The 25,291-nt window shown below is 41.7% G+C and overlaps 2 long non-coding RNA genes across 4 annotated transcripts in view; one reads left to right on the forward strand and one right to left on the reverse strand.

The window, feature by feature from the left end:
• Positions 1-7,531: 7,531 nt before the first annotated feature.
• The window catches only part of LOC105375567 (uncharacterized), a 58,167-nt gene continuing 40,407 nt past the window's right edge, over positions 7,532-25,291 (reverse strand). Inside the window, exons 3-5 of one of the 2 annotated variants that reach the window (XR_928171.3) lie at positions 17,225-17,476; positions 13,867-14,162; positions 7,532-12,282 (exon numbers count right to left, since the gene is read on the reverse strand). This is a non-coding gene — a long non-coding RNA (uncharacterized LOC105375567). Of the gene's footprint in view, positions 12,283-12,737; positions 14,163-17,224; positions 17,477-25,291 lie in introns of those variants that run through there. The other variant, XR_928169.3, reaches the window with a different exon arrangement.
• LOC124901775 (uncharacterized) lies at positions 14,949-21,669 on the forward strand. Of its 2 annotated transcripts, XR_007060591.1 has the most exons (3): positions 14,949-15,019; positions 15,816-16,001; positions 21,539-21,669. It is a non-coding gene; the product is annotated as an uncharacterized LOC124901775 (long non-coding RNA). The 2 variants fall into 2 exon arrangements; XR_007060590.1 differs by lacking the exon at positions 21,539-21,669 and having other exon boundaries at positions 15,816-16,295.

Consider the following 25,291-nt stretch of genomic DNA (forward strand, 5'->3'; position numbering starts at 1 on the left):
CATAAACAGAACCAAGGTAAAAAACCACAATTATCTCAATAGATGCAGAAAAGGCCTTCAACAAAATTCAACGGCCCTTCATGCTAAAGACTCTTAATAAACTACGTATTGATGGAACGTATCTCAAAATAATAAGAGCTATTTATGACAAACCCACAGCCAATATCATACTGAATGGGCAAAAACTGGAAGCATTGCCCTGAAAACTAGCACAAGATAGGGATGCCCTCTCTCACCACTCCTATTCAACATAGTGTTGGAAATTCTGGCCAGGGCAATCAGGCAAGAGAAAGAAATAAAGGGTATTCAATTAGGAAAAGAGGAAGTCAAATTATCCCTGTTTGCAGATGACATGATTGTATATTTAGAAAACCCCAACGTCTCAGCCCAAAATCTCCTTAAGCTGATAAGCAACTTCAGCAAAGTCTCAGGATACAAAATCAGTGTGCAAAAATCACAAGCATTCCTATACACAAATAACAGAAAAACAGAGAGCCAAATCACGAGTGAACTCCCATTCACAATTGCTACAAAGAGAATAAAATACCTAGGAATGCAACTTACAAGGGATGTGAAGGACCTCTTCAAGGAGAACTACAAACCACTGCTCAACAAAATAAAGGAGGTCACAAACAAATGGAAGAACATTCCCTGCTCATGGATGGGAAGAATCAATATCGTGAAAATGGCCATACTGCCCAAGATAATTTACAGATTCAATGCCATTCCCATCAAGCTGCCAATGATTTTCTTCACAGAATTGGAAAAAACTACTTTAAAGTTCATATGGAACCAAAAAAGAGCCCACATAACCAAGACAATCCTAAGCAAAAAGAACAAAGCTGGAGGCATCACGCTACCTCACTTCAAACTATACTACAAGACTACAGCAACCAAAACAGCATGGTACTGGTACCAAAACAGAGATATAGACCAAGGGAACAGAACAGAGGCCTCAGAAATGACACCACACATCTACAACCATCTGATCCTTGACAAACCTGACAAAAACAAGAAATGGGGAAAGGATTCCCTATTTAATAAATGGTGCTGGGAAAACTGGCTAGCCATATGTAGAAAGCTGAAACTGGATCCCTTCCTTACGCCTTATACAAAAATTAATTCAAGATGGATTAAAGACTTAAATGATAGACCTAAAACCATAAAAGCCCTAGAAGAAAACCTAGGCAATACCATTCAGGACATAGGCATGGGCAAGGACTTCAAGACTAAAGCACCAAAAGCAATGGCAACAAAAGCCAAAATTGACAAATGGGATCTAATTAAACAAAAGAGCTTCTGCACAGCAAAAGAAACTACCATCAGAGTGAACAGGCAACCTACAGAATGGGAGAAAAATTTTGCAATCTACCCATCTCACAAAAGGCTAATATCCAGAATCTTTAAAGAACTTAAACAAATTTACATGAAAAAAACAACCCCATCAAAAAGTGGGCAAAGGATATGAACAGACACTTCTCAAAAGAAGACATTTATGCAGCCAACAGACACATGAAAAAATGCTCATCATCACTGGTCATCAGAGAAATGCAAATCAAAACCACAGTGAGATACCATCTCACACCAGATAGAATGGTCGTCATTAAAAAGTCAGGAAACAACAGATGCTGGAGAGGGTGTGGAGAAACAGAAACACTTTTACACTGTTGGTGGGAGTGTAAACTAGTTCAACCATTGTGGAAGACAGTGTGGTGATTCCTCAAGGATCTAGAACTAGAAATACCATTTGACCCAGCGATCCCATTACTGGGTATATACCCAAAGGATTATAAATCATGCTACTATAAAGACATATGCACACGTATGTTTACTGCGGCACTATTCACAATAGCAAACACTTGGAACCAACCCAAATGTCCATCAATGATAGACTGGGTTAAGAAAATGTGGCACATATACACCATGGAATACTATGCAGCCATAAAAACAGATGAGTTCATGTCCTTTGCAGGGACATGGATGAAGCTGGAAACCATCATTCTGAGAAAACTATCACAAGGACAGAAAACCAAACACCGCATGTTCTCACTCATAGGTGGGAATTTAACAATGAGAACATTTGGACACAGTGCAGGGAACATCACACACCAGGGCCTATCATGAGGTGTGGGGCTGGGGGAGGGATAGCATTAGGAGAAATACCTAATGTAAATGACGAGTTAATGGGCACAGCAAACCAACATGGCACATGTATACCTATGCAACAAACCTGCACATTGTGCACATGTACCCTAGAACTTAAAGTATAGTAATAAAAAAAAATTCACCAAACACCACAAAAAAAATCAAGAATGTCAAAGAAAATTTCCACGTCCCCCGAAATCCAAATAAATAGTTAGACAAAGCAGGGAGTTAAACCAGACTATGGCCCCAGTTGGCAAAGCTGTCCCAAGGACGACAGGGGGAATAAAGCTGGCATGGTGCTCTGTAACAGCTCTGAGCTTGCAGTCAGAGACATGAGCACAAATCTCAGCACTGCCACTTCCTAGCTCCTTGACCTACCTACAAAACCTCCTGAGCAACAGTCTTTGTATTTGTAAAATGTGGATAATTGTATCTAAAACCCAAGGCTAATGTGAGGATCAAATGATACATATAAATATAGAAGTGTCTAAAAACTGGACACCCTACAGTATGAATTACTCAAATAAATGTGGATTACTAACAAAAAAAATTGGGGAGAACAGAAAGTACTCAACAATCCCCAAATCCTCTCTCCTCCCTACTTCAAAGGAAGTATAACAGAGTCCCCAAATGGGAATATAATCTCCTTTGGTCAAACTTCTAGAATGGGCATGCGGAAAACCAGAGCTATATACATCATCAGTGGGACTGACTATGCAGACACCACAGAAGGTGCATGAAGTGGCCTTTGGCAGAGACTGGTGTTGTTCCCCAATTTTCATTCTTTCTTCCTTTATTTCTTGTAATAGGTCCCTCGGAAAAAAAACTGGGCATATAGCTTCTTGGAATGGAGACTAGATTTCCCAGCCTCCTTTGGCGACTTAATTCTAAGCAATAAGATTTAAGAGGAAATAGTGTGTGTGTGTCCTGGGAACATCCTTTAAGAGAGAGATGCCCTTTGCCCCCATGATCTCTTTTGACGCTTGGAGTGCAGGTGTGATAGCAGCAGTATAATGAATGCTTATAATTTTATTTGTCTCAGCATTAATTTTCAATATTAACTGGACTTTCCCATACCAGCAACAGAGCTCAGTTACCCTCGATACAGTTTCCAGTTCTATACTTGATCCCAGTTCTCCTGTGTGGCCAATCCAGATAGCTGCCTTATACAACTGCCTCCTGGTGACCAGCTCACTATGGGTCAACTGGATACACCCTGTTCCACTGGCCCTGCTGACGCCCACACCCTGTATCGACCGTGCAGACATGCTGCAGTGACCACCTCTGCATGCTCCTGGAACTCAGGCCTGCTTGCTCTAAATCCACCAACTAAAACTCCCTGTGGGAAACCTATTTAAATAATGCCCTGGACCCAATAAAGGGATCCTTTTCTCTCTGTCTCTGCCTGTGCTGCCTGACCTCCAGGCATGCCATGTAGCCCCCAGGGTCTGCAAGTACTAAAATCTCTTAAATTGTCACATTGTGGTTGTGTCATTGAAGCCATGCTTGAAATCTGACCCCTATGGCAAGGCTTCCCCAAAGGGACCCATGCAGGTGGATGTCCTGCTGCTCTTTTGTCCAGACCTCTGTTAGCTGCTGTGGACAGTAGCTACCAGCCAAGCTGATGGAAAAAAACTGTTTTGAATGAAGAGTTTCACTTAAAACACGGACCGGACCGGCACGGTGGCTCACACTTGTAATCACAGCACTTTGCGAGGCTGAGGAAGGTGGATCACGAGGTCAGTAGATCGAGACCATCCTGGCTAACACGGTGAAACCCCGTCTCTACTAAAAATTACAAAAAAATTATCCGGGCGTGGTGGCGGGCGCCTGTAGTCCCAGCTACTCCGGAGGCTGAGGCAAGAGAATGGCGTGAACCCGGGAGGTGGAGCTTGCAGTGAGCCAAGATCGCACCATTGCTCTCCCGCCTTGGTGACAGAGCGAGACTCCATCTCAAAAAAAAAGAAAAAAAAAAATACAAAATTAGCCAGGCGTGGTGGCTCATGCCTATAATCCCAGCTACTCGGGAGGCTGAGGAGGAGAATCGCTTGAACCCAGGAGGCGGAGGTTGCAGTGAGCCGAGATCACACCATTGCACTCCAGCCTAGGCAACAAGAGCGAAACTCCGTCTAAAAAACAAAACAAAACAAAACAAAACAAAAAAAAAAACGTGGATCTAGAGCAAGCTATCTTGGGCCATGATGTGATTTAGGAATAGTATCCATTCATTGAAGAGCAACAGGACAGAGTGTGACCTATGCACAACATACTAATCCTGGGCTGCCTGCCTAGATGTTGATGTGTGAAAAAAGCTTGGGTTCGTTTACATATTCTGGCACTCGCTGCCAGACATAACTCTAATTAATAAATTTTCACCTCAGAAAGAATCATCCTAAATGTGCATGCACTTAGCAACAGAGCTTCCAAGTACATGGAACAACTGTGGATAGAACTGAAAGGAGAAGTTGTCAAATCCACAGTTATAGCTGGAGACACAACATTCCTCGCTCAGTAATAGATAGAATGAGTGGACAGAAATTAGCAAGGATATAGAAGAGCCGAACCACATCATCAACAACTGGATCTCATTACCTTTATAATACAATCCACAACAATATCAGAATACACATTCTTTTCAAGTGCTCATGGAACATTCACCAAGATAGACCATATCTTCGGTGTATCCCTTAACCATAATGCACTATAAATCAACAAATGAAAAGTAATGGGAAAATCTCCAAACACTTGAAAACTAAACAACATATTTCTAAATCACTCATGGATCAAAGAAATCTCAAGGGAATTAGAAAATATGTTGAACAGAACAAAAATGAAATTTTTTCCTAACAAAATTTGTAGAATACAGCTAAAGAAGTGCTTAGAGGTAAATTCATAGCATTAAGTACTTGTATGAGAAAAGAATAAGAAAGTTCTTAGCTTAAGAAACTAAAAAAAGAGCAAAATAAACTCAAAATTGACTCAAAGCAAAATAGAAGAAAGAAAATTATAAAGAAGATAAATTGATTAAACAGAAAAATTAGGGAAATCAATGAAACTAAATGCAGGTTTGTTGAAAAGATTGATACACCTCTAGTAAGAGTGTCAAAAAATTATAATAATAAGAGAAACTGGCCAGGCATGGTGGCTCTTGCCTGTAATCCGAGGACTTTGAGACACCAAGGTGGGTGGATCGCTTGAGCCCAGGAGTTTGAGACCAGCCTGGGTAACGTGGCAAAACCCCACCTCTACAAAAAATACAAAAATTAGCTAGACATGGTGGTGCACACCTATAGTCCCAATTACTCTGGAGGCTGAGGTGGGAGGATCACCTGAGCCCAGGAGGTTGAGGCTGCAATAAGTCCCACAATCGCACCACTGCACTCCAGCCTGGCAACAGAGTGAGACTCTGTCCAAAAAGAGAAAAAAAGAAAATAAGAAAAACTACACAAATTACCAATATCCAGAATGAAATGGGGGGATATCACTACAAGCCCCACATACACTAAAAGAATAATATGGGAATATTATGAACAACTCTATATGTGGAAGGTCAACCACTTAGATGAAATAAACTCATTCCTCAAAACCCATGAAATACCAACTTATCCAATATGAATTAGCTGACATGAATGGTGCTACATCTATTAAAGAAATTGAATTTATAGCGAAAAATCTTCTGAAAAAGAAATCTCCTGGCCTGGATGGTTTTACTGGATAATTTTACCAAATAGTTAAAGAAGAAATAACACTAATTCTACATAATCTCTTCCAGAAAATAGAAGAGGAGAACTTCCAAACTTATTTTATGGGCTCAACATCACCCTGAGACCAAAATCAGACAGTAAAAATAAGAAAAACTACAGACCATCCCCCATGAAAAGTATAAAGAAAAAAGACCACATGATCGTATCAATTGATGCAGAAAAATCATTTGACAAAATTCAGCATCAAAATATGACTTTTTTAAAAAAGTCTCAGTAAACTAGACATAGACAGAAACTTCCTCAAGTTGATAAACAGCATCTACCAAAATCCTGCAGTCGACATTATACTTAATGGTGAAAAACAGAATGCTTTGTCCCTAAGATAGAGAAAAAGAAAAAAATGAGTCCTCCCACCACTTCCAATCAATATTATACTGGAAGTCCTAGCCAGTACAGTAAGGCAAGAAATGAAAAAGGCATATAGATTAAACAGGGAAAAGAAAAACTGTCCCTATTTTAGGTGACAATAATTGCCTATACAAAAAATCCCAAGGAATTTGCACACACACACACACACACACACACACACAAAGCCCTGTGGCTAATAAGTGACTTTATCAAAGTCACAGGATACAAGTCAACACACAAAAAACAACTGTACTTAAATATATTCACAATGTACAATTGGTGAGCAACATTAAAATATATTTACCACTGCTCCAAAAAATTAAATACTTAGATGTAAGTCTAACAAAATATTACTGGATCTGTATGATGAAAACGACAAAATGTTAAGGACAGGTATCAAATAAGACCTTACTAAATGAGATACATACTGTGTTCATGGGTTGGGAGACTAAACATAGTAAAGATGTCAATTCTCCCCAAAGTTTTCTATAAATTTAGCACAATTCAAACCAAAATCCCAGCAGAAATTTTATGTATATATAAATATACATATAAACATATAGAGAAAGAGATAGAAAGAGAGAGAGGGGGGAGCTGATTTTGAAATGAATATGAAAAAGCAAATAAACCACAACAGCTGAAACAATCTTGAAGACAAAGAATAAAATTGGATGTTTTAGGAGTTGCTATAAAGCTACAGCAATCAACACATTGTGGTACTGGTGGAGAGAGACACACATCCATCAGTAGAACAGGGTAGAAAGAAAGTCTTGAAATAGTCACACAAACATGGCCAAGTGATTTTTGATAAAGGTACCAAAGCAATTCAATGGAGAAAGGATAGTCTTTTCAACTAATGTGAACAGGGGTTGACTCCAGCTCAGAGCTGGAAAACCTGTTTCCCAAATTGTGTGTCCTGGAGTTGATAAGGAAAGACAACAACACTAATGGTGTTGGAACAACTGGACATCTATATGCAAAAAATTAACCTTGACGTCAATCTCACAGCTTACAGAAAAATTAACATAGAAGGCATAATAGACCTAAATGTAGAAAATGAATCCATAAAACTTGTAGAAGAAAACACAGGAAAAATATCTTCCTGACCTGAGGTTAGGCAAAAAGTTCTCAGACATGACACTAAAATACAGTTCACAAAACAAAAAAAGTGATAAATTTGACTTCATCAAAATTAATAATTGTTGGTCTACAAAATACTTTATTAAAAGACAAACTATATGCAAGGAAAAAAAATTTGCAAACCATATATCTGGTTAAGAACTTAACCAGAATATATAAAGAACTCTCAAAACTCAACAGAAAGCAAGAAACCCAAGTTTTAGAAATGAGCAAGACTTAGACACTTCCCCGAAGAAGATACTCGGATGACAAATAACTACATGAAAAAATGATCAACACCACTAGGCATTAAGTAAATACAAATTAAAACCATGATCAGATGCCACTACACACAAATTAGAGCAGGTCAAATAGAAAACACAGACAATACCAGATGTTGGCCAGAATGCAAAATGGTACAGTCACTCTAGAAAATGCTTTGGCAGCTTCTTCCAAATTTAACCCTACATCTTATGACTCAGTGATCACACTCCATGATATTTACCCTAAAAAATTAAAGCTCATGTTTACACAAAAATCTGTATGTGAATGTTTATAGCAGCTCCATTTATAATTACCAAAAAACTGGAAGCAACACAAATGTCCTTGCATGGGTGAATGGATAAACTGTAGGAACATCCATACACTGGAATACTACTAGCAATAAAAGGAATAAACTATTGATACACACAATCACATGAATGATGTGGGGGTTGGGGGTGTTTCTGGGGCAATGAGCTATTCCTTGATTTGGTGATACATTAAGTTTGTTTTATAATTATTCACACAACTATATATGCTTAATGTTCATTTGTATGTATATTTTATAATTAAAAAGAAAACTGAAGAACCCAAAATTCTGTCAAAGTCAAATATCTTTAGACAAATCTTGAGGACAAAGGGAATGGAAATTCCATCAAAGTGGTGCAATGACCTGAGTAGGAGTTTACAGATTATAATCTTAACATCATTATGCTGAGGTAAAGAGGCCAGTCCCCAAAGGTTACGTACTGCATGATTCCACTGATATGATACTCTCAAAATGGAAAAATTATAGTGATGGAAAACAACTCAATGGTTCCCTGTGGTTAGGGCTGGGAAGAGCATGTGACTGAAAAAGGGACCCCCCAAGGAAGATTTGTGGGGTGACAATACTGTTCTTTATCCTGATCATGGTGTTGGTTACATGAATCTGTACATATGTTAAAATTCACAAATTGTACACAGAAAAAATGATGAGTTTTGCTATAATAATAATTGATAATGATAAGAATCTAAAATAATAATGAGTTTGAGATGAATTTGCCTGTCTCTATCTCAACGTCCCAAAGTTATCTCCAGATGGGAATATTCATTTTCCCCATCAAAACAGGAACTTCAAGCCTGTGGTTTAGATGTGTTTTCAAATACACAAATTGCTTTTGAATTTTTATTTTGAATGAAAGGTTGCGGTGGCACGACATCTGATTTCCTACAGAAGAGAAAACCCGAGACATGGGACTTTCCGAGGCAGTTTGGGAGGGGGCAGGGTGGCTGCAGGGAGAGAAGCTGGGAAGCTGGGAGAAGGCCTGAGAAGTGGGGTGGAGGGGAGCTGCTTTCCCAGACTCTGACCCTCCAGACACGAGACACAAAGGAGGTTGCCAGATTCTGAGAGTAAAAGACCATTTTCCAGCAGAAGGAAAAACTGGGTTGACATTCATTTATCTGACTGAAGAATGGTAAGAATTTACATCCAACCTAACCATTAAAGGACTGATTTAGAAGCACTTAGAAGAAAAATTCATACCTTCTTTAGCCTGAGAAAGTAATTTACCAGGTCTTTATTTCAGTTTTACTCTGCCAATGTTTCTTAGGACCTTAATGATTAACAAGTTCAAAAACAGAATTAGAACAAGATTAATTTTAAATTCAAAAGCCTGGTTCCGTATCACAAGCCAGCTAGATGTGATTAATTCTGCCGCCTAGGGGCTACAAAAAGTTTTCCCCAGGGAAAGAAATAGAAAAGAAAACATTAACTCTTTCATGAAATTATGTGAAAAATATTAATTCATTAATTGAACAAATGTGTATTAATATCTCTCATGTGGCAGGCACTGTCAGCACTGGAAAGGGAACTGTGAACAGGTTGGACAGTCCCCTGCCTCCCCCAACCCACAGTGACGTTGAGGAGTGAGGGCCAAAAAGCCATGACATTTTCCAGTCTTCGTCTGGCGCGCCCCAGGCTACCTGCTCTGCTCCAGCCAACTAGTCAGAATCACACCATTACATCCCCCAGGCCCCAGAGTTACAGGGCAGGCAGGGTTTTTCCTACTGTTTCACTGTCTTCAGCCAGTTTCTCCTTGTCCCACCTCATCGGCTAGGACACACAATTCAGCAAACAGGATTTCCAGTTCTGAGCTGGAGCCAACCCCCGTCACAGCCCACCCTAGCTGAACATCCACCGTGATGCTGGCCTACTCCTGCCCCAACCCTGGCCCAGTGAGATGCAGGGCTGCCGATTCATTAGGAAGACCCTCTGCACTTGAAAGAACAGTGTGGAAACAATCTACAGGAAAGGATCTTCTTGAAAACATGAGTGCTACCCTACAAAGAGCCCAGGAGTGGCCTCTCCTCCCTCCCCCACCCAGTCAAGGCTAGGGGCACAGAGAAACCTGCCTCCTCCCCAGCAGAGGCAATGTGACCCAGGGCCCAAAGTAGAATGCCCTGAGAATGCAGCCCCAGTCCCCCAGCACAATCTGGTCACCTTTAGCCTCAAAGACAAGGATTTCTCAAACAAGACATAAAAAGCACCAGCCATAAAGAAAAGGACTGATAAGTCCAAATCCACTAATGTTAAAACTTTCTGATTCTCAAAAAACGAAGGAAGGAAATGAAAAGATAAGCCACATAATCTGATAAAATATTAGTCAACACATAAATAACAAAGGACCAATTCCAGAAGGTGTTAAATTGAATCATATGAAACTGCCATTTTTTGTAAGTCAAAAATGGTCAAGTGTCAGCAATTTCACATGAAGAATTCTTAAAAATCATTAAGGCGGACAACCCAACAGAAAAAATTGCCAAAGATCTGACACTGTACATAAGAGGAAGCCCAAATGGCCAATAAATAGTGGAAATGTGTTCAACCTCATCAATAAACCAGGTAGTCAAATTAAAACCTCAATAAGATAACATGAACTAAATCCACAATATTCCACAAAAATTAAAGTCTGGCAATACCAAGTGTTGGTTAGGATGTGGAGCAATGGGAACTCTTGTACACTGCTGGCAGAAATGTAAACTGGTACAACCACTTTGAAAAACAGGCATGAACTAGCAAAGTTGAAATATATGACTTATGACTCCACCATTGCATTTCAAGGTATACACCCAGATACACGAATTACCAAGGTCATGTGTGCAGAAAGGATTATAAATACATTGTTCATAATATCCCCAAACTAGAAACAAGACTAATATCCATCATCATTAGAATGAATACACCCATTGTTGCAAATTCCTAGAGTAGAAAATTACACACTAATGAACAACCTACAACTACATAAAATTAAGAAAAATAAATAAGACAAAAAAATTATCTTTGGTAAGACCCTGTTTATAGAAAGTTCAAAACAGACGAAACCAACTTATATCCTTCAGGAATGCCTACAAAAAAGGAAAAAAATCTAGAGAAAAGCAAAAAAGTAATTTGCACAAGAGGTATTATATGGCTCATTTCTGGAGAGAGGGAGAAAGGGAGGGGTTGTTATTAGGGGACTGGGGTTGCTTCTGGGGCAATGAGCTATTCTTTGATTTGGTGATACATTAAGTTTGTTTTATAATTACTCACACAACTACATATGCTTAATGTTCATTTGTATGTATATTTTATAATTAAAAAGAAAACTGAAGAACCCAAAATTCTGTCAAAGCCAAATATCTTTAGACAAATCTTGAGGACAAAGGGAATGGAAATTCCATCAAAGTGGTGCAGTGACCTGAGTAGGAGTTTACAGATTATAATCTGACATGAAAATCAGAAATTATATGAACCAAATCTAAGAGGGACAGCTAAATGGCCACCGCCTTTAAGTAACAATGTCCCTCTTTTAGACTCTAAATAGGATTCAAGGGATCCCAGTAGTGTCACATAGATGTAGACACATCCCAACAGTATTCTCTAGTTAAGAAGTTCAGCAAGATGGAAACTCATTTCCCAAAATCAAGAACCACAACTTACAAAGAGAAATTATATGCTGAGCAGCACTTTTGAGGCAGGAGATGGTAGAGAGGGAACCAGAGACTGGATACAGGAAGAATGAGTGAGAGCATGAGAGCAGAAGCAAGGTGAAGGGGCGAGTGAGCAAGAAGTGAGATATGAAGCAGAGGCTGAGCAGCCAAAACAAAAGTGAGATTTTAAAAAAGTGAGTAAGGAGCCCACATGGCCGCCTAGATCTGGACCAAACCTGTCAGGGGCAGCTCCTCAGAGATGAGCATGCACGTTAGACAGAAAACATATCCTTAAAATGTTCCCGTATGGTAATTAGCTACTTAAGGTTCATGCATATGGACTGCATATTATGCACGTACTTAAAATTATGGGATGGAGGTGACTCGCAAGAAGTCACAAGCGCACACGGGCCATAGTATTAAATAACTAAGCAGCCCACCTGTCCATCAAAAGGCAGACACTGGCTAGACATCAGGCAGTCTTGGCCACAGAAGAGAAAAAATATATAAAAGAATTCAAAGTACACCAAATTGACGTTGATCTCATTTCGCAGAGGTCAGTCCACTCTCCCCTCTCTGGGAGTGTAATACTATGCGTCATACACTTTTGCTGCTTTGCTATCTGTGTGTATCTCGTCCAATTCTTCGGTCAGGACACTAAGAGCCTGGAGCTGCACAGCACCATCTGGTAACACTTTCAAGAAGAACAAAATAAAACCAACATCAGGGATGCCGCTAGTTGCAGAAATGTTTGCGAAAGTTGATCAAATGAATTGGGTCATTTTTGTCATACCCAACTAAAACAAAGTCAAAAAGCCAGGGGGAAAAGCACTCAGGAAAGATAGCATTGCTCCAAGAATGTAATTCTCCGCATGTCTAACTGCTGAAACCAACTGTTGTAACCTGAGACCAGTTTTATCTACCCTGCTGAGATAACTTGCTGCAACTCTAGGACTAATTTTGCCCAATGCCATTGCCCACCAGTTGAAACTTGCCAGCTCCCTAGAACCTTATTAGTGCCAATGAACTTTCTCAAAGAGCAATGGGTAACATTCGGTAAAACCTCCAGCCTTCTCTTTGTTCTTACGGTGTGCATGTGTGTCCCAAGTGGCAATCCTTTCTTCCCAAATAAACGGTTAAATTTAGAGCTCAGTCTCTACTTTTTTATTTTGACTTCAACAACTTGAAGCCAGAAACAGTAGGAAACGCAGTAAAGGAAGCTGAGAGTATGAACGCCCATGCCACAGCTGAATTAATAAAGGACCACCGGGTTTGGAGGCCGGGCAACAGATGAGAGGAACTTTAGAAAGGTGGTGCTATCCCCAGTGAGCTTGAGGAACACATGTCTGTCCCTGCCATGTAGAGGAAGATAGTACCTGGCATTTTACCTGGCCACAGCACACACACATTAAATATTTGCTGAGTGAATCCCAAACCAGGAGTGTTTCCAAACTCCCCAAAGCTGCGCTACTGGGACACGAGGTGGTGCTGTGCACATTCATGGGGTGGGGAGGCGGGGCTTAGCACATAGCTCCCTCATCATTGGCTTTTAGAGAGTGAGCGGCAGGCAGGTTGTCCATTGGATACCAAGATATGGCGGCCCCCTGACTGGGAAGACATGACCTTACACACCTTGGTTCTTTAACTTGACCTTGGGAAGACAGGGCCAGCCAGCAAGGTGGCTGGGGAGAAGGCCGAGGTCCCCGGGCCGCAGACGGGAATTGAGGGTCAGGAGCCGAAGTGAAACTGGAGCCGGCGCCACGAGATGCAGCCCTGAAGGGCACCTCCACCCAGTGGCCCTCCCCCACCCCACTCCCGGGGCCCTCCTGGCCCAGCGTCACCCTGCTGCGCTAGGACCTACAAGGGCGGCCTCTGGGAGCCCTCTGCTTTACCTCCTCTCCTGGGTCAGGCTGCAGAAAGAACAAGCTCCTCCACCCTGCCTGGTAGGCATGGAAGGAGGGCAAGTGTTGGTAGCCATGGTAACTCGGGGTAGCCATATTTTCGTGCAGTCACTCTGACCCCATCTCGATGGACAAGGATTGTCCCATCTGTTTCTACAACTGTTTCCCAAACAGGCAGTGCTGTCCTAAGGAAGCACCCACCTGGCCCAAACATGCTGTGCTTTCTTTGTGGCTGCCTTGCCTCCCCAACCAATTGTAACCCCTTGGAATCAGGACTGTCTCCCGTGCGTTTTCTTCTCTCTGCAGCCTCGCCTGCAAAGGCTTCTGTGCCTTCCCTGAGATGCCCTAGCAAATGGGTCTTTTCGAACATTACCCACCTCAACGTAAGTCCTAGGCCAAGCCGGTTCTCTGCTTATTCAGAACAGAGTGCGTCTTTACTGTCATGCCATTACCTGGCAAAGGGAATTGCCGGACGGCAGGTGGCACAGAATTCCTTTGGAACTCCAAATTCTTTTTTCAGCTTAGTCTTCCCTATGATTCTGACATTTTCTACCTGAAGGCAGAACACATGGGTTGAGCTTGGGTTCTCAGAATAGAGGGGTGGAAACCAAAGCGGGTCTGCTTGAGAGGATTCATTTTTGAGCCTTCTTCCCAACAGAGTATGTAGCCAGCCCTGAAGACAAAAACAAAAGAAAGGAATGAGATCGAAGTATCTGTTCCCCTGGCTTCCTCTGTGCCAGATCACAGCCTGGCTTAGCACTGTTCTGCCAAAAGCCACCGATTTGGTCAGGTGACTGTGTCCTGCAAGTCTCCCCCGATCTATTAGCCATGCCCTCTCCTTGCCTCTTCTCACCTACCTAGGGGTGAAAATGGCCTCCAACTACGCTTAGCTTCAAGGTGCTTCACCTCCTCTGGTGATGTCCTTGCCCCTGCCTCATCTTTGTAAATAGTCCCTTTTTTAAACTCGATATTCCTCCTTCTGAGAATGCCATTTCCTAGCAGAACCCTAACTGACTTTTCTTTTTCTTCAACTTTACTCTCCTTTGATCCTAGAATCAACTGCATTCACCAGAGAGTACCTACAATTGCCAGCTAGTGTGCTAAGCACTGGCCATGCAGAGATAAGAGGCACAGGTTACAGTCTGTGGATATCTTGGGAGGCCAGGGCTATGATGGAGGTCAGCTCCAGGTAGGGGCATGGCGGAGAGAGGAAGATGATCAAGGGAGGCATCAGAGAGTCAGCAGCAGCCAGGCAAAGGTCGGAAGGGGCAGAGTGTTCCAGGCAAGGGGTGTGTGCCGAGATAGGAGCCTAGGTAGGCTGGCATTGCTGAGACTGATGAGAGGTCAGACCCTAGAGGTACACAGAAGCCAACATGTCCCAGTAGGCAGCCTCTGGAGGACTTTGGCAGGGTGGCAAATGGCCAGATTCCCACTGTGGAAAGGTCATTCTAGCAGAGGCAGACAGGCTAAATTTGGAGGAGACAAGTTTGGGAGCAGGAAAGCCAGTAGGAGTCTACTGCAGGAATTTAGGTAAAACATAGCAAAAGCACAATCCAAAATAATACAGGAGGAAATGGAATGCAGGAGATAGGTGAAGGAATTCTCAGGAAATAGAACTTGCTGGGGCATTGGGTGTGACTGGGAGGGGAAGAAATACGAGTCTGGCAGGACTCTCACATGCCTGGCTGGAGCATTCGTGGGTTTATGGTGGCATTCCCATGATAAGGGAGGGGCAATATGTTCTTCCTGGAATTTGTTGAGTTTGAGGTACCTGTGGTCTAGGCAAGGAAAAATGCCCATGAGGAAAATGGGGATATGGGTCTGAAGCTCAGAATTGTCTAGACTAAAGGCATGCAGTTGATCATCATTTTCATGATAGGGGAGGAATGGTATAAGCAAGGAGTATGCTAAGCTTCTGCTTCCGTGCTTTCGGTTGAGAAGTAGGTCATTGAACAATAATGAAAATGCTGAACATTTCTTGAGTACTGACTACATGGCAGGCAATATACGAGGTACTTCATGGTGAATACTTTGACTTCATTTATTAGAATCCTCACAGCAACCCTATGAGGCCCTGACTAGTGTTTTCCCCATTTTTGAACTAGGAAACTAAGGCTCAGAGAAGTTCAGAATTTGTCCAAGGCCACACAGCTAGAAAATGTCATAACTGAGATTTGAATCCAGACTTTCTGACTCCCGGTTCACCTCAGTTACTTGTTCTATAAAAAGATTTTATATTTTTGTCCTTCATGTAGTTTACCCCCAAGAACAGGTAAGCCTTAAAGATGAGACCAGAATTAACTGCCCTTTTCCTACAAACTTTCAGCTTTCAAATCTGTACCTGTTGATGAGAGAACCTCCAGGTTTGTCCCCTACTACCAATGATGAGGCAAACACAGAGAGAGGAACCCCTTTGACTAAAGCTGAATTGTAAAGGACTAAAGCCCTAACTTCTCTTCGAATGACCTGCATTCAAATCAAGTAAGCAGCTGTTCAAAGAATTCAGTCGGAGGTATGACTTGTGCAGTGAGAGTTGAAAACGCAAATCCTGTTCTGTACCTCCCTGTTTAAAGCATTGCACTGGCTCCTCGTTGCCTTCAGGATAAAGTCTATATTCCCTCCACATCTCCTTCCCTACTCCTCCAGCATTCTGACTGGCTGAGCCAACTACTCTTACCCCAGTACAGACAACCTAACTTTGCAGAACTACTCACAATTCCTAAACACCATCGAGGATCAAGCCTCTGCCTTTTTCCCTTCAACATTTTACTATGAAAATTTTCAAAAATAAAATTTTAAAAATTTACAAGTGAATACTTCTCTATCTAGACACTAAAATTAATATTTTCCTGTATTTGCTTTATCATGTATCAATTCATTTATCCATCCCATTTTTGTGCATTTCAAAGTAAGTAGTAGATATCTGCATACTTACCCCTAAATGCTTCAGCATGCATATTATTAACTAGAGTTCCAAATTTGTTTCCAGTTCTTTTTTTCTTTCGTATGTAAAATTAACATACAATGAAATTTTTTCCCATTGTATGTAAAATTAACATACAACGAAATGCACAAATATTAGAGGCAGTGTATTAGTATCCTTGCTATGGTAACAAATCACCACATACTTAGTGTCTTTAAATGACATACATTTATTCTCTTGGAAGTCCAAAATCAGTCTGGCTGGGCCAAAGTCAAGGTGTAATCAGGGCTGGCTTCTTCTGGTATCTCTGAAGGGACAATCTGTTTCCTTGCCTTTTTCACCTTCGAAAGCATTCCTTGGCTCATGACCCCTTCCTCACATCACCAACCTCTTGCTTTCATAGTTACCTCTCCTACTCACTCTGATCCCCTGCCTTCTTCTTATAAAGACTGTGATTACATCAGTTCCACATGGATAACGCAGGATAATCTCCCATCTCAAGATTCTTAGTTTAATCGCATCTGCAGAGTCCTTTTTGCCATGTGAAACAACATATTCACAGCTTCCAGGAATCAGGATGTGACCCTCTTGGAGAGCAATTATTCAGCCTACCACATGCACATCTAATGAGTTTTTACAAATGCATACATTTGTGTGACTCAAACTCCCAGCAAGATAGCCTTACCATCACCCCCAGAACATTCTCATGCCCCTTCCCAGTCTGTCCCAGTCTCACCCTCACCCCCTAGAGCCAGCCACTGTTCTTTTTGCCTCTTCAGAACTTCCTATAGATGGCGTTATCTTGCAAATACCTGGTATGGTGTCTGGCATGTAGTAAGTGCTCAGGAAAGGACTTCATCTTTTGAATCTGACTTCTCTTACTTGACACAATGTCCTGAAGACTCATCCATGCTGCGTGTATCAGTCTCAGTCTGTTCCTTTTGATTGCAGAGTAATATTCCATCAAATAGGCCACAATCAGATAGTTCCCTTATTCATCCATTCTCCTGTTGACAGACTCCAGACTGCTTCCAGTTTTTGTGCTTTTTTGTTTTTGTACAAATCTATGGGGTACATGAGAAAACTTGTTACTTATGTGTAATGTATAGTGATCAAGCCAGGGTATTCCAGGTGTCCATCACCCAAGTACAATACATTTTGTTAAGTATGGTCACCCTCCTCTGCTATCAAACATTGAATTTATTCCTTCTATCTAACTGTATATTTATATGCTTTAACCCACTTCTCTTTGTTGATGGCTGCTGTGAAACCTCAGTTCTTGTGTTCCTAGTTTAAAGGAATTTAAACAGGAGACACACAGCAAAGGAGATGCAGTGTAGAGCAATTTATTGCAAAGGAGGAAGAATACCCTGAAAGTTAGGTGCAGAATAGACAGGATGCCCCAAGAGGGATTCAGGGTGGGCTGCCTATGAGGATGAGATAGCAAAGACCCACTTGAGGGAGACTCCCTTTATCGAAGGCTTACCTGATTATTCATGAGGGGGTGGGAAACTGTGTTGCTAGGAAGCATGTTCTGGGATGGGTGCACATGTGCAGTACCTGTACATGCTTGTTCATACATTGCATGTGTCATTAGCACCCTAAATCTCCAACCAGGGGTGTTTTTTATTATTATATTGAGCAAAGGGTCAGTCTGAGGACAGGTAAAATCAAAATGTGCATGCTCTCTACAGGGGAAATTCCCTACTGGAGACAGCTTTGCTGAATGAGCTTGACTGCAGTGCGAATGCTGGGGCTTATTGTGGTGACTATGAGGTCACCAAGGTTGCCAAATCCCAAGGGCATAGTAACTTCCTTGACTAACTGTCCTGCCTCATCTTCATCCTCCCCCTTTCCCCAGACTCACACTTCCCAGTCTCTGTTCTTTATCTTTCCACTCTCTACCTCCATCTCTGTTCTCTATCTTTCCACTCTCTACCTCCATATGATCAAATTTTTTAGCTCCCACATATAAGTGAGAATGTGTGATATTTGCCTTTTTGTGCCTGACTTATTTCACTTAAGATAATGGCCTCCAGTTCCATCCATGTTGCTGCAAATGACATGTTTCATTCATATAGGCTTGTCATATATGGTCTTTGTTATTTTAAGTATGTTCCTTTTATAGCTAGTTTGTTGAGAGTTTTTATGTAAATTGTATCAATTTTTATCAAAAATTTTTATCAGAAATTTTATCAAATACTGTTTCTGCATTTATTGAGATGATCATATGGTTTTGTCCTTCATTCTGTTGATGTGATGTATCCCATTTATTGATTTGTATATGTTGAACCATCTTTCCATCCCTGGCATAAATCTCACTTAATCATGGTGTATTATCTTTTTTTTTGTTTTTTTTTTTTTGAGACAGAGTCTTGCTCTGTCCCCCAGGCTGGAGTGCAGTGGCACGATCTTGGCTCACTGCAACTTCCACCTCCCTGGTTCAAGCAATTCCCCTGCCTCAGCCTCCAGAGTAGCTGGGATTACAGGCACCCACCACCACGCCCAGCTAATCTCACTTTTGTTTTGGCTGCTCAACCTCTACTTCTTATCTCACTTCTTGCTCACTTGCCCCTTCACCTTGCATTGTTAGATTGTTAATTTTAATGTTTCTACTTTTTGATGGAACAATTTATTGCTATAAATTTCCCTCTTAGCACTGCTTTTACTTTTCTCACAGGTTTTGGTATGTTGTGTTTCCATTTTCATTTCTTTCACGGAACTGTTTTTATTTCCATCTTAATTTCTTATTGACCCAATGGTCATTCAGGAACATGTTGTCTAATTTCCATGTATTTGTGTAGTTTCCAATGTTCCCTCCTTGTATTGATTTCTAATTTTATTCCATTGTGCTCTAAGAAGATAATTGATATGATTTTGGGAAATTTGTTGAGGCTTATTTTGAAGCCTAACATGTGGTCTATCCTGGAGAATGTACCACGTGCTGATGAGAAGAATGTATATTCTGTAGTTGTTGGATAGAATGTTCTGCAAATTGTTAGGTCCCTTTGTCTATAGTGCAGTTTAAATCTAATGTCTCTTTGTTGACTTTCTGCCTAGATGATATATGTCCAATGCTGAGAGTGGGGGTCAATCTTTGTGCTTCCCAACCTGCTGCTGAGGTTGCTCCTTTGGCCTGTAATAACCTCACCACTAGCATCTGTTCCCCTCACAAAGAATCAGTCACCCTTGTCAGCCTCATTATACCCAGTACAAAGGCCACCTGCTCTGGGAAACATTTCCCAAACCACTGCCCCACCCTGGGTGACTGGACCACTCCCTCCTCCATGCCCTGTACATACCTCGCTCTCTGCACCTGGCCCTTTTATGACCCTTACTTGTTTACTTGACCCTTACTTGAGGACATCTGACTCTACTCACTCTAGTTCATGCCCCCCAGGGCACAGCCAGGGCATTTCATATCTGTGTCTGCACAGCAAGGGCAGTATAGTGTGGTAGGGCTGTGCAGCTCTGAAAGCACTGCCAGGGTGGGTTGAGATCTTGGTTCTCATTTCTTTTTTTTTTTTTTTTCTTTTTGAGATGGATTCTCACTCTGTTGCCCAGGATGGAGTGCAGTGGCACAGTCTCGGCTCACTGCAGGCTCCACCCCCGGGTTCACGCCATTCTCCTGCCTCAGCCTCCCGAGTAGCTGGGACTACAGGCGCCCGCCACCATGCTCGGCTAGTTTTTTTGTGTTTTTAGTAGAGACAGGGTTTCACCATATTAGCCAGGATGGTCTTGATCTCCTGACCTCCTGATCTGCCTGCCTCGGCCTCCCAAAGTGCTGGGATTACAGGCGTGAGCCACCGCGCCCAGCCGGTTCTCACTTCTTCATATGTAATCTGATGACCCTCACAGGGTCATTGTGAGGAGTGAATAAAATATACACGTGAAGCACTTAGCACAGTGCCGGGCACAGAATCTGCATCTGATTCAACTGGGGCATAAATGGATGAAGGAACTTGTTAAATAATGACACAATGGCCGCCTTGGATTCTTTGCATTCTCGTTGGAGTGAGAAATCTCCTTTTTCTGAAAACTGACCTGAATGTGGAGGACAGACAAGTAGTGACTCTTGGCTCTGCAATCCATGAGAAGAGCTGCTGGCTTATATCCATAACTTATTTTGAGTTTTATTCAAGGACACAGAAGTCCACTTCTTCTTGGAGGAAGGACAGAATTTAGTCCAATGTCTGAGAAGCTTTAATAGGCTGCCAGGGAAAAGAATTATGAGCTGCCTCTTTCTCTGGGACATATGTGCCATTGTTTTCCTCTCAGCACAAAGACTTTGCTGTGCCCTGGGGTAGGGGCTTTGCTTCACTGTGAAACTGGCTCCAACATAGACCTTGAGATTGCTAAATGTTCTCATTCTGAGCTAATCTGGAGCCTAAAGAGGTTAACAATCCAGCAACAACGAAGAAGAATATTTTGATGGAATTTCTCCTTGTCTTTGCCATATATTATATGCCTTTTTTCAGAGTACACTATTCATCAAGAACTTGAGCTTCTCGAACACTATATTTTGGTTATAGACTTTTTTATTGCTTTTTTATGATTATAAAAATAAATACATGCCCATTGGAGAAAGCTGGGAAAAATGGAAAAGTATAACAAAAAGACAAAAATTACCCATAATTTCACACCCCAGAGATAACCACTGTTAATATTTTTGTGTGATCTTTTCACTAGTGATAGATAGATAAACAAATAAGTAGACTGACATACAAATGCATTAGGCACATTTTTCCCACAAGTGGAAAAACACCAATAATTAGATTTCTTGGTCCAACAAGCCTAGTTGTTTGTTTGTTTGTTTTGTTTTGTTTTTGAAATGGAGTCTCGCTCTGTCACCCAGGCCGGAGTGCAGTGGCTCAATCTTGGCTCACTGCCACATCATCCTCCCGGGTTCAAGTAATTCTCCTGCCTCAGCCTCCTGAGTAGCTGGATTACAGGCACGCACCACCACGCCCGGCTAATTTTTGTATTTTTAGTAGAGACAGGGTTTCATCATGTTAGCAGTCTGGTCTGGAACTCCTGACCTCGTGATCCGCCTGCCTCAGTCTCCCAAAGTGCTAGGATTACAGGCATGAGCCACCACGCCCAGCCACAGGACTAGTTTTTTACAGGCTTCAATGTGACCAAGGTGGACTGAAGGAAAAGCTATATTGAAGAAAACTCCTGAACCTGCCAACTGGGAAGGTCCCAAGAGTCCAGACTGGGTGGTCATGTAGACCCTCATCCTTCACCTGCTCATCCTGCCTAGTTAAGTGTTTGCTTAGCTCAACTCTCAGAGGCAGCAAAGGCAGCAAATGAGATGGTGAATTACAACCCAAAGCCCAGGCACTGGACTGGGCAGTGTGGTAGGGAGGTGCAGAGATTCAAGTGAAGACCTACCTGCTCCCCCTTCCCCTTCCTCCTAGATCCCTGTCAGGTCCTTTCACCTGAGCCTTGATTCCATGTGACTATGATAGTTGGTTGTTTGGTTGGTGCCCATATTTGTTTGCTAGAGCTGCCATAGCAAAGTACCACAACTGGGAGGCTGAAACGCACACATTTATTTATCACAGTTCTGGACGCTGGAAGCCTGAGCCCAAGGCATCTGCAAGGTTGGTTCCCTCTGAGACCTCTCCTAGGCTCACGGATGTCTGTGTTCTGCCTGTGTTCTCCTCATCACATGGTCATCCCTCTGTGTGTGTTTGTGTTCCAATTACCTCTTCTCATAAAGACACCAGACATATTGGATTAAGACTCATCTAATGACCTCATCTTAACTTAATTACTTCTTTATAGACCCTATTTCCAAATATAGTCACATTCTGAGGTACTAGGGGTACGACTTCAACATATGCATTTTGGGGGACACAGTTCAGCCCATGACAGCGCCTCACTAGGTGCTGGTGATACTTGATCCTGACCAGGCTGCTCCATCAACAAGAGTAATGAGTGGAAATTTCAGCTCCTTAGAACCAAGTATTTTTAAAATGAAAAAAAAATTGAACTTAATGAGAATTTGCTGTTTAACTTTTAAAAGTAAGGCATATCACAACACCAATGACATTCTTCGCAGAAATAACAAAAGTATTCCTGGAATTTGTATGGAAACACACACAAAAAAGAAACCCAAAAAGCTGAAATAAGCAAAAAGAACAAAGCTAGAGGCATCAAACTTCCTGACCTCAAAGTATAATACAAAGCAATAGTAACTAAAACAGCGTGGTACTGGCATAAAAACAGATGCATAAACCAATGGAACAGGATAGAGAGCCCAGAAATAAATCTACACCTTCATAGCCACCTGATTTTCAACAGCAGTGCGAAGATAGCACAGTGGAAAAAGGACAATTGCTTCAATAGAATGGTGTTAGAAAAACTGGATATCCACAAACAGAAAAATGAAATTACCCCCTTATATCTCACCATGTTCAACTCAAAATAGATTAAAGACTTAAATCCAAGACCCAAAACTATTAAACTACTAGAAGAAGACATAGGGGGAAAACTCCACGACACTGGTCTGGGCAATAATTTTTTTATAAAACGTTAAAAGCATGGATAACAAAAGCAAAAAGAGCCAAATGAAATTACATCAAATTTCTAAAAATTTACTAAAAAGCTTCTGCACAACAAAGGAAACAACCAACAGAGCAAAAAAGACAACCTAAATAGTGGGAGAAAATATTTGCAAACTATACATCTGACAAGCAGTTAATATCCAAAATATATAAGGAAACCAAACAACTCAATAGCAAAATAATAATAATAATAATAATAATAATAATAATAACCCAGTGAAAAATTGGCAAAAGACTTGAGTAGACATTTTGCAAAAGAAGACAGACAAATGGCCAACAGGTGTATGAAGAAAAGCTCAACATCACTAATCATCAGGAAAATGCAAATAAAAAACCACAAGGAGATATCACCTCATTATTATGGCTATTATCAAAAAGACAAAAGATAACACTTGCCATCAAAGCTGTGGAGAAAAGGGAACATTTATATATTGTTGCTGGGAATGCAAATTAGTACAGCCATTATGGAAAACAGTATAGAGGTTCCTCAAAAAATTAAAAACAGAACTACAATATGATCCAGCAACCCCACTACTGGGTATATATTCAAAGGAATTGAAATCAGTATGTTGAAGAGATATCTGCACTCCCATGTTTATTACAGCACTATGCACAATAACCAAAATATGGTATCAACCTAAATGTCCATCAAAGGACAAATGGATTTAAAAAAATGAGTTGTATATATACACATGGAATACCACTTATCCATAAAAAAGAATGAAATCTGCCATTTGTGATAACAGGATGAACTTGGAGGACATTCTGTAAGTGAAATAAGCCAGGCACAGAAAGATAAATACCGCATGATCTCACTCATCAAGATTCATGTGGAATCTAAAAAAACCTGAACTCAAAGAAGTAGAAGCTAGGCTGGTTAGAAAGGAGTGGGGAGATGGGGAGATGTTGGTCAAAGGATACATAATTACAGCTAGTTAGGAGGAATAAATTTCAAGAGATCTGTTGTATAGCAAGGTGATTATAGTTAATGACAATATATTCTCTTCTTGAAAAATGTAGAAAATGGACATTAAGTGCTCTTACCACAAGAGCGATAACTTATATGAAGTAATGCATTTGTTAATTAGCTAAATTTAACCACTCTACAATGTATATGTATATCAAAACATCATGTTTCACCCAAGAAAAACATACAAGTTATGTCAAGTAAAAAAAAAAAAAAGATGAAAAAAAAAAAAGCAAAGCAGATTTCTCTGAGCACCATCAGTGCCTGCATTGAGTTCTTTTTTATCAATGGAGCTGCTCCATGAATGGCTCTGAGTCTTGCCTGCACCTCGGAATCAACTGGGGAGCTTTTAACCCCACCCCCTACAAACCCAGGCCCCCCTATCTAAATCAGAATCCGGAGGTGGGACCTCTGGGCACCAATAGTTAGGAACACTGCCTGGGTGATTCCAACATGCAGCCAGCGGGGAGAACACCCCACAATGGCTCTGGTCCAGGGCATGGGTCTTTGGGGGCTTTGCAGGGGCTCCACGGGGCCTCCACTGAGGTTCCTTAGGATCTGCATGACTCCCTTCAGTCAGCACCTCCCAGGCAGTGAAATCCGGAGAAGGGCTTCCAGGCTGTGGCTGCCTCCCTTAGAAAACAAAACCTTTATAGAACAGGGACACAGTGAAGGACTCAGGACAAAGCAGGCAGTTGGATGCTTGTGAGACCCAGGAATGTTGTGGAGTTCACGCCTCTGGGCATCCTGTGCCCACATCAGTCACAGACAGGAAAAACCAGGAGAAGCAGCATCATGGCCCATTCCCAGAGCAACAGAAAAGCCCAGGGATCAGTGAAACTCAGGGAGACATTGGTGGCACAGGAACCTAAGTGGGATGAGCTGACCTAATAACCCAGAGGCACAGCCTAGCCAAGACCCTGCTTCTGTGGAAAGTTTTGGAGCCCCGTGGCAGAGGCCTTTCTACCCTGAGTGCTCACAAATCTCCTAAGCCAACACCAGCTCATCAGCTCCTTCTGTCACTCAAGAGAAGCCTTGAATCACGTCCATAACAATGACAACCTGCTAAGGCACTTAGATGCTCATGCTGGGCAATGTCCATTCTTCTCCTGCACTGTGCAGTCAACACCGTCCCTCAGGTGACCTGGTGGAAGTCCAGCAGACCAGCTTGAGTGAGGAACCTCCTCAGTGTCCAAAGCCACCAGGGTTTCCTTCCAGTGTGCCATTAAACCCCAAGAGGCAAGAAGCTCTCCTGCTGGAGACTCACATCCAAAATGGGGATCAGACACAGCACAAGCTGCTCCACTACCCCAGGACCCTACCCATGAGAGAATAAAACC

Source organism: Homo sapiens, chromosome 7 (genome assembly GCF_000001405.40).
Source record: "Homo sapiens chromosome 7, GRCh38.p14 Primary Assembly".
Classification (NCBI taxonomy): Eukaryota; Metazoa; Chordata; class Mammalia; order Primates; family Hominidae; genus Homo; species Homo sapiens.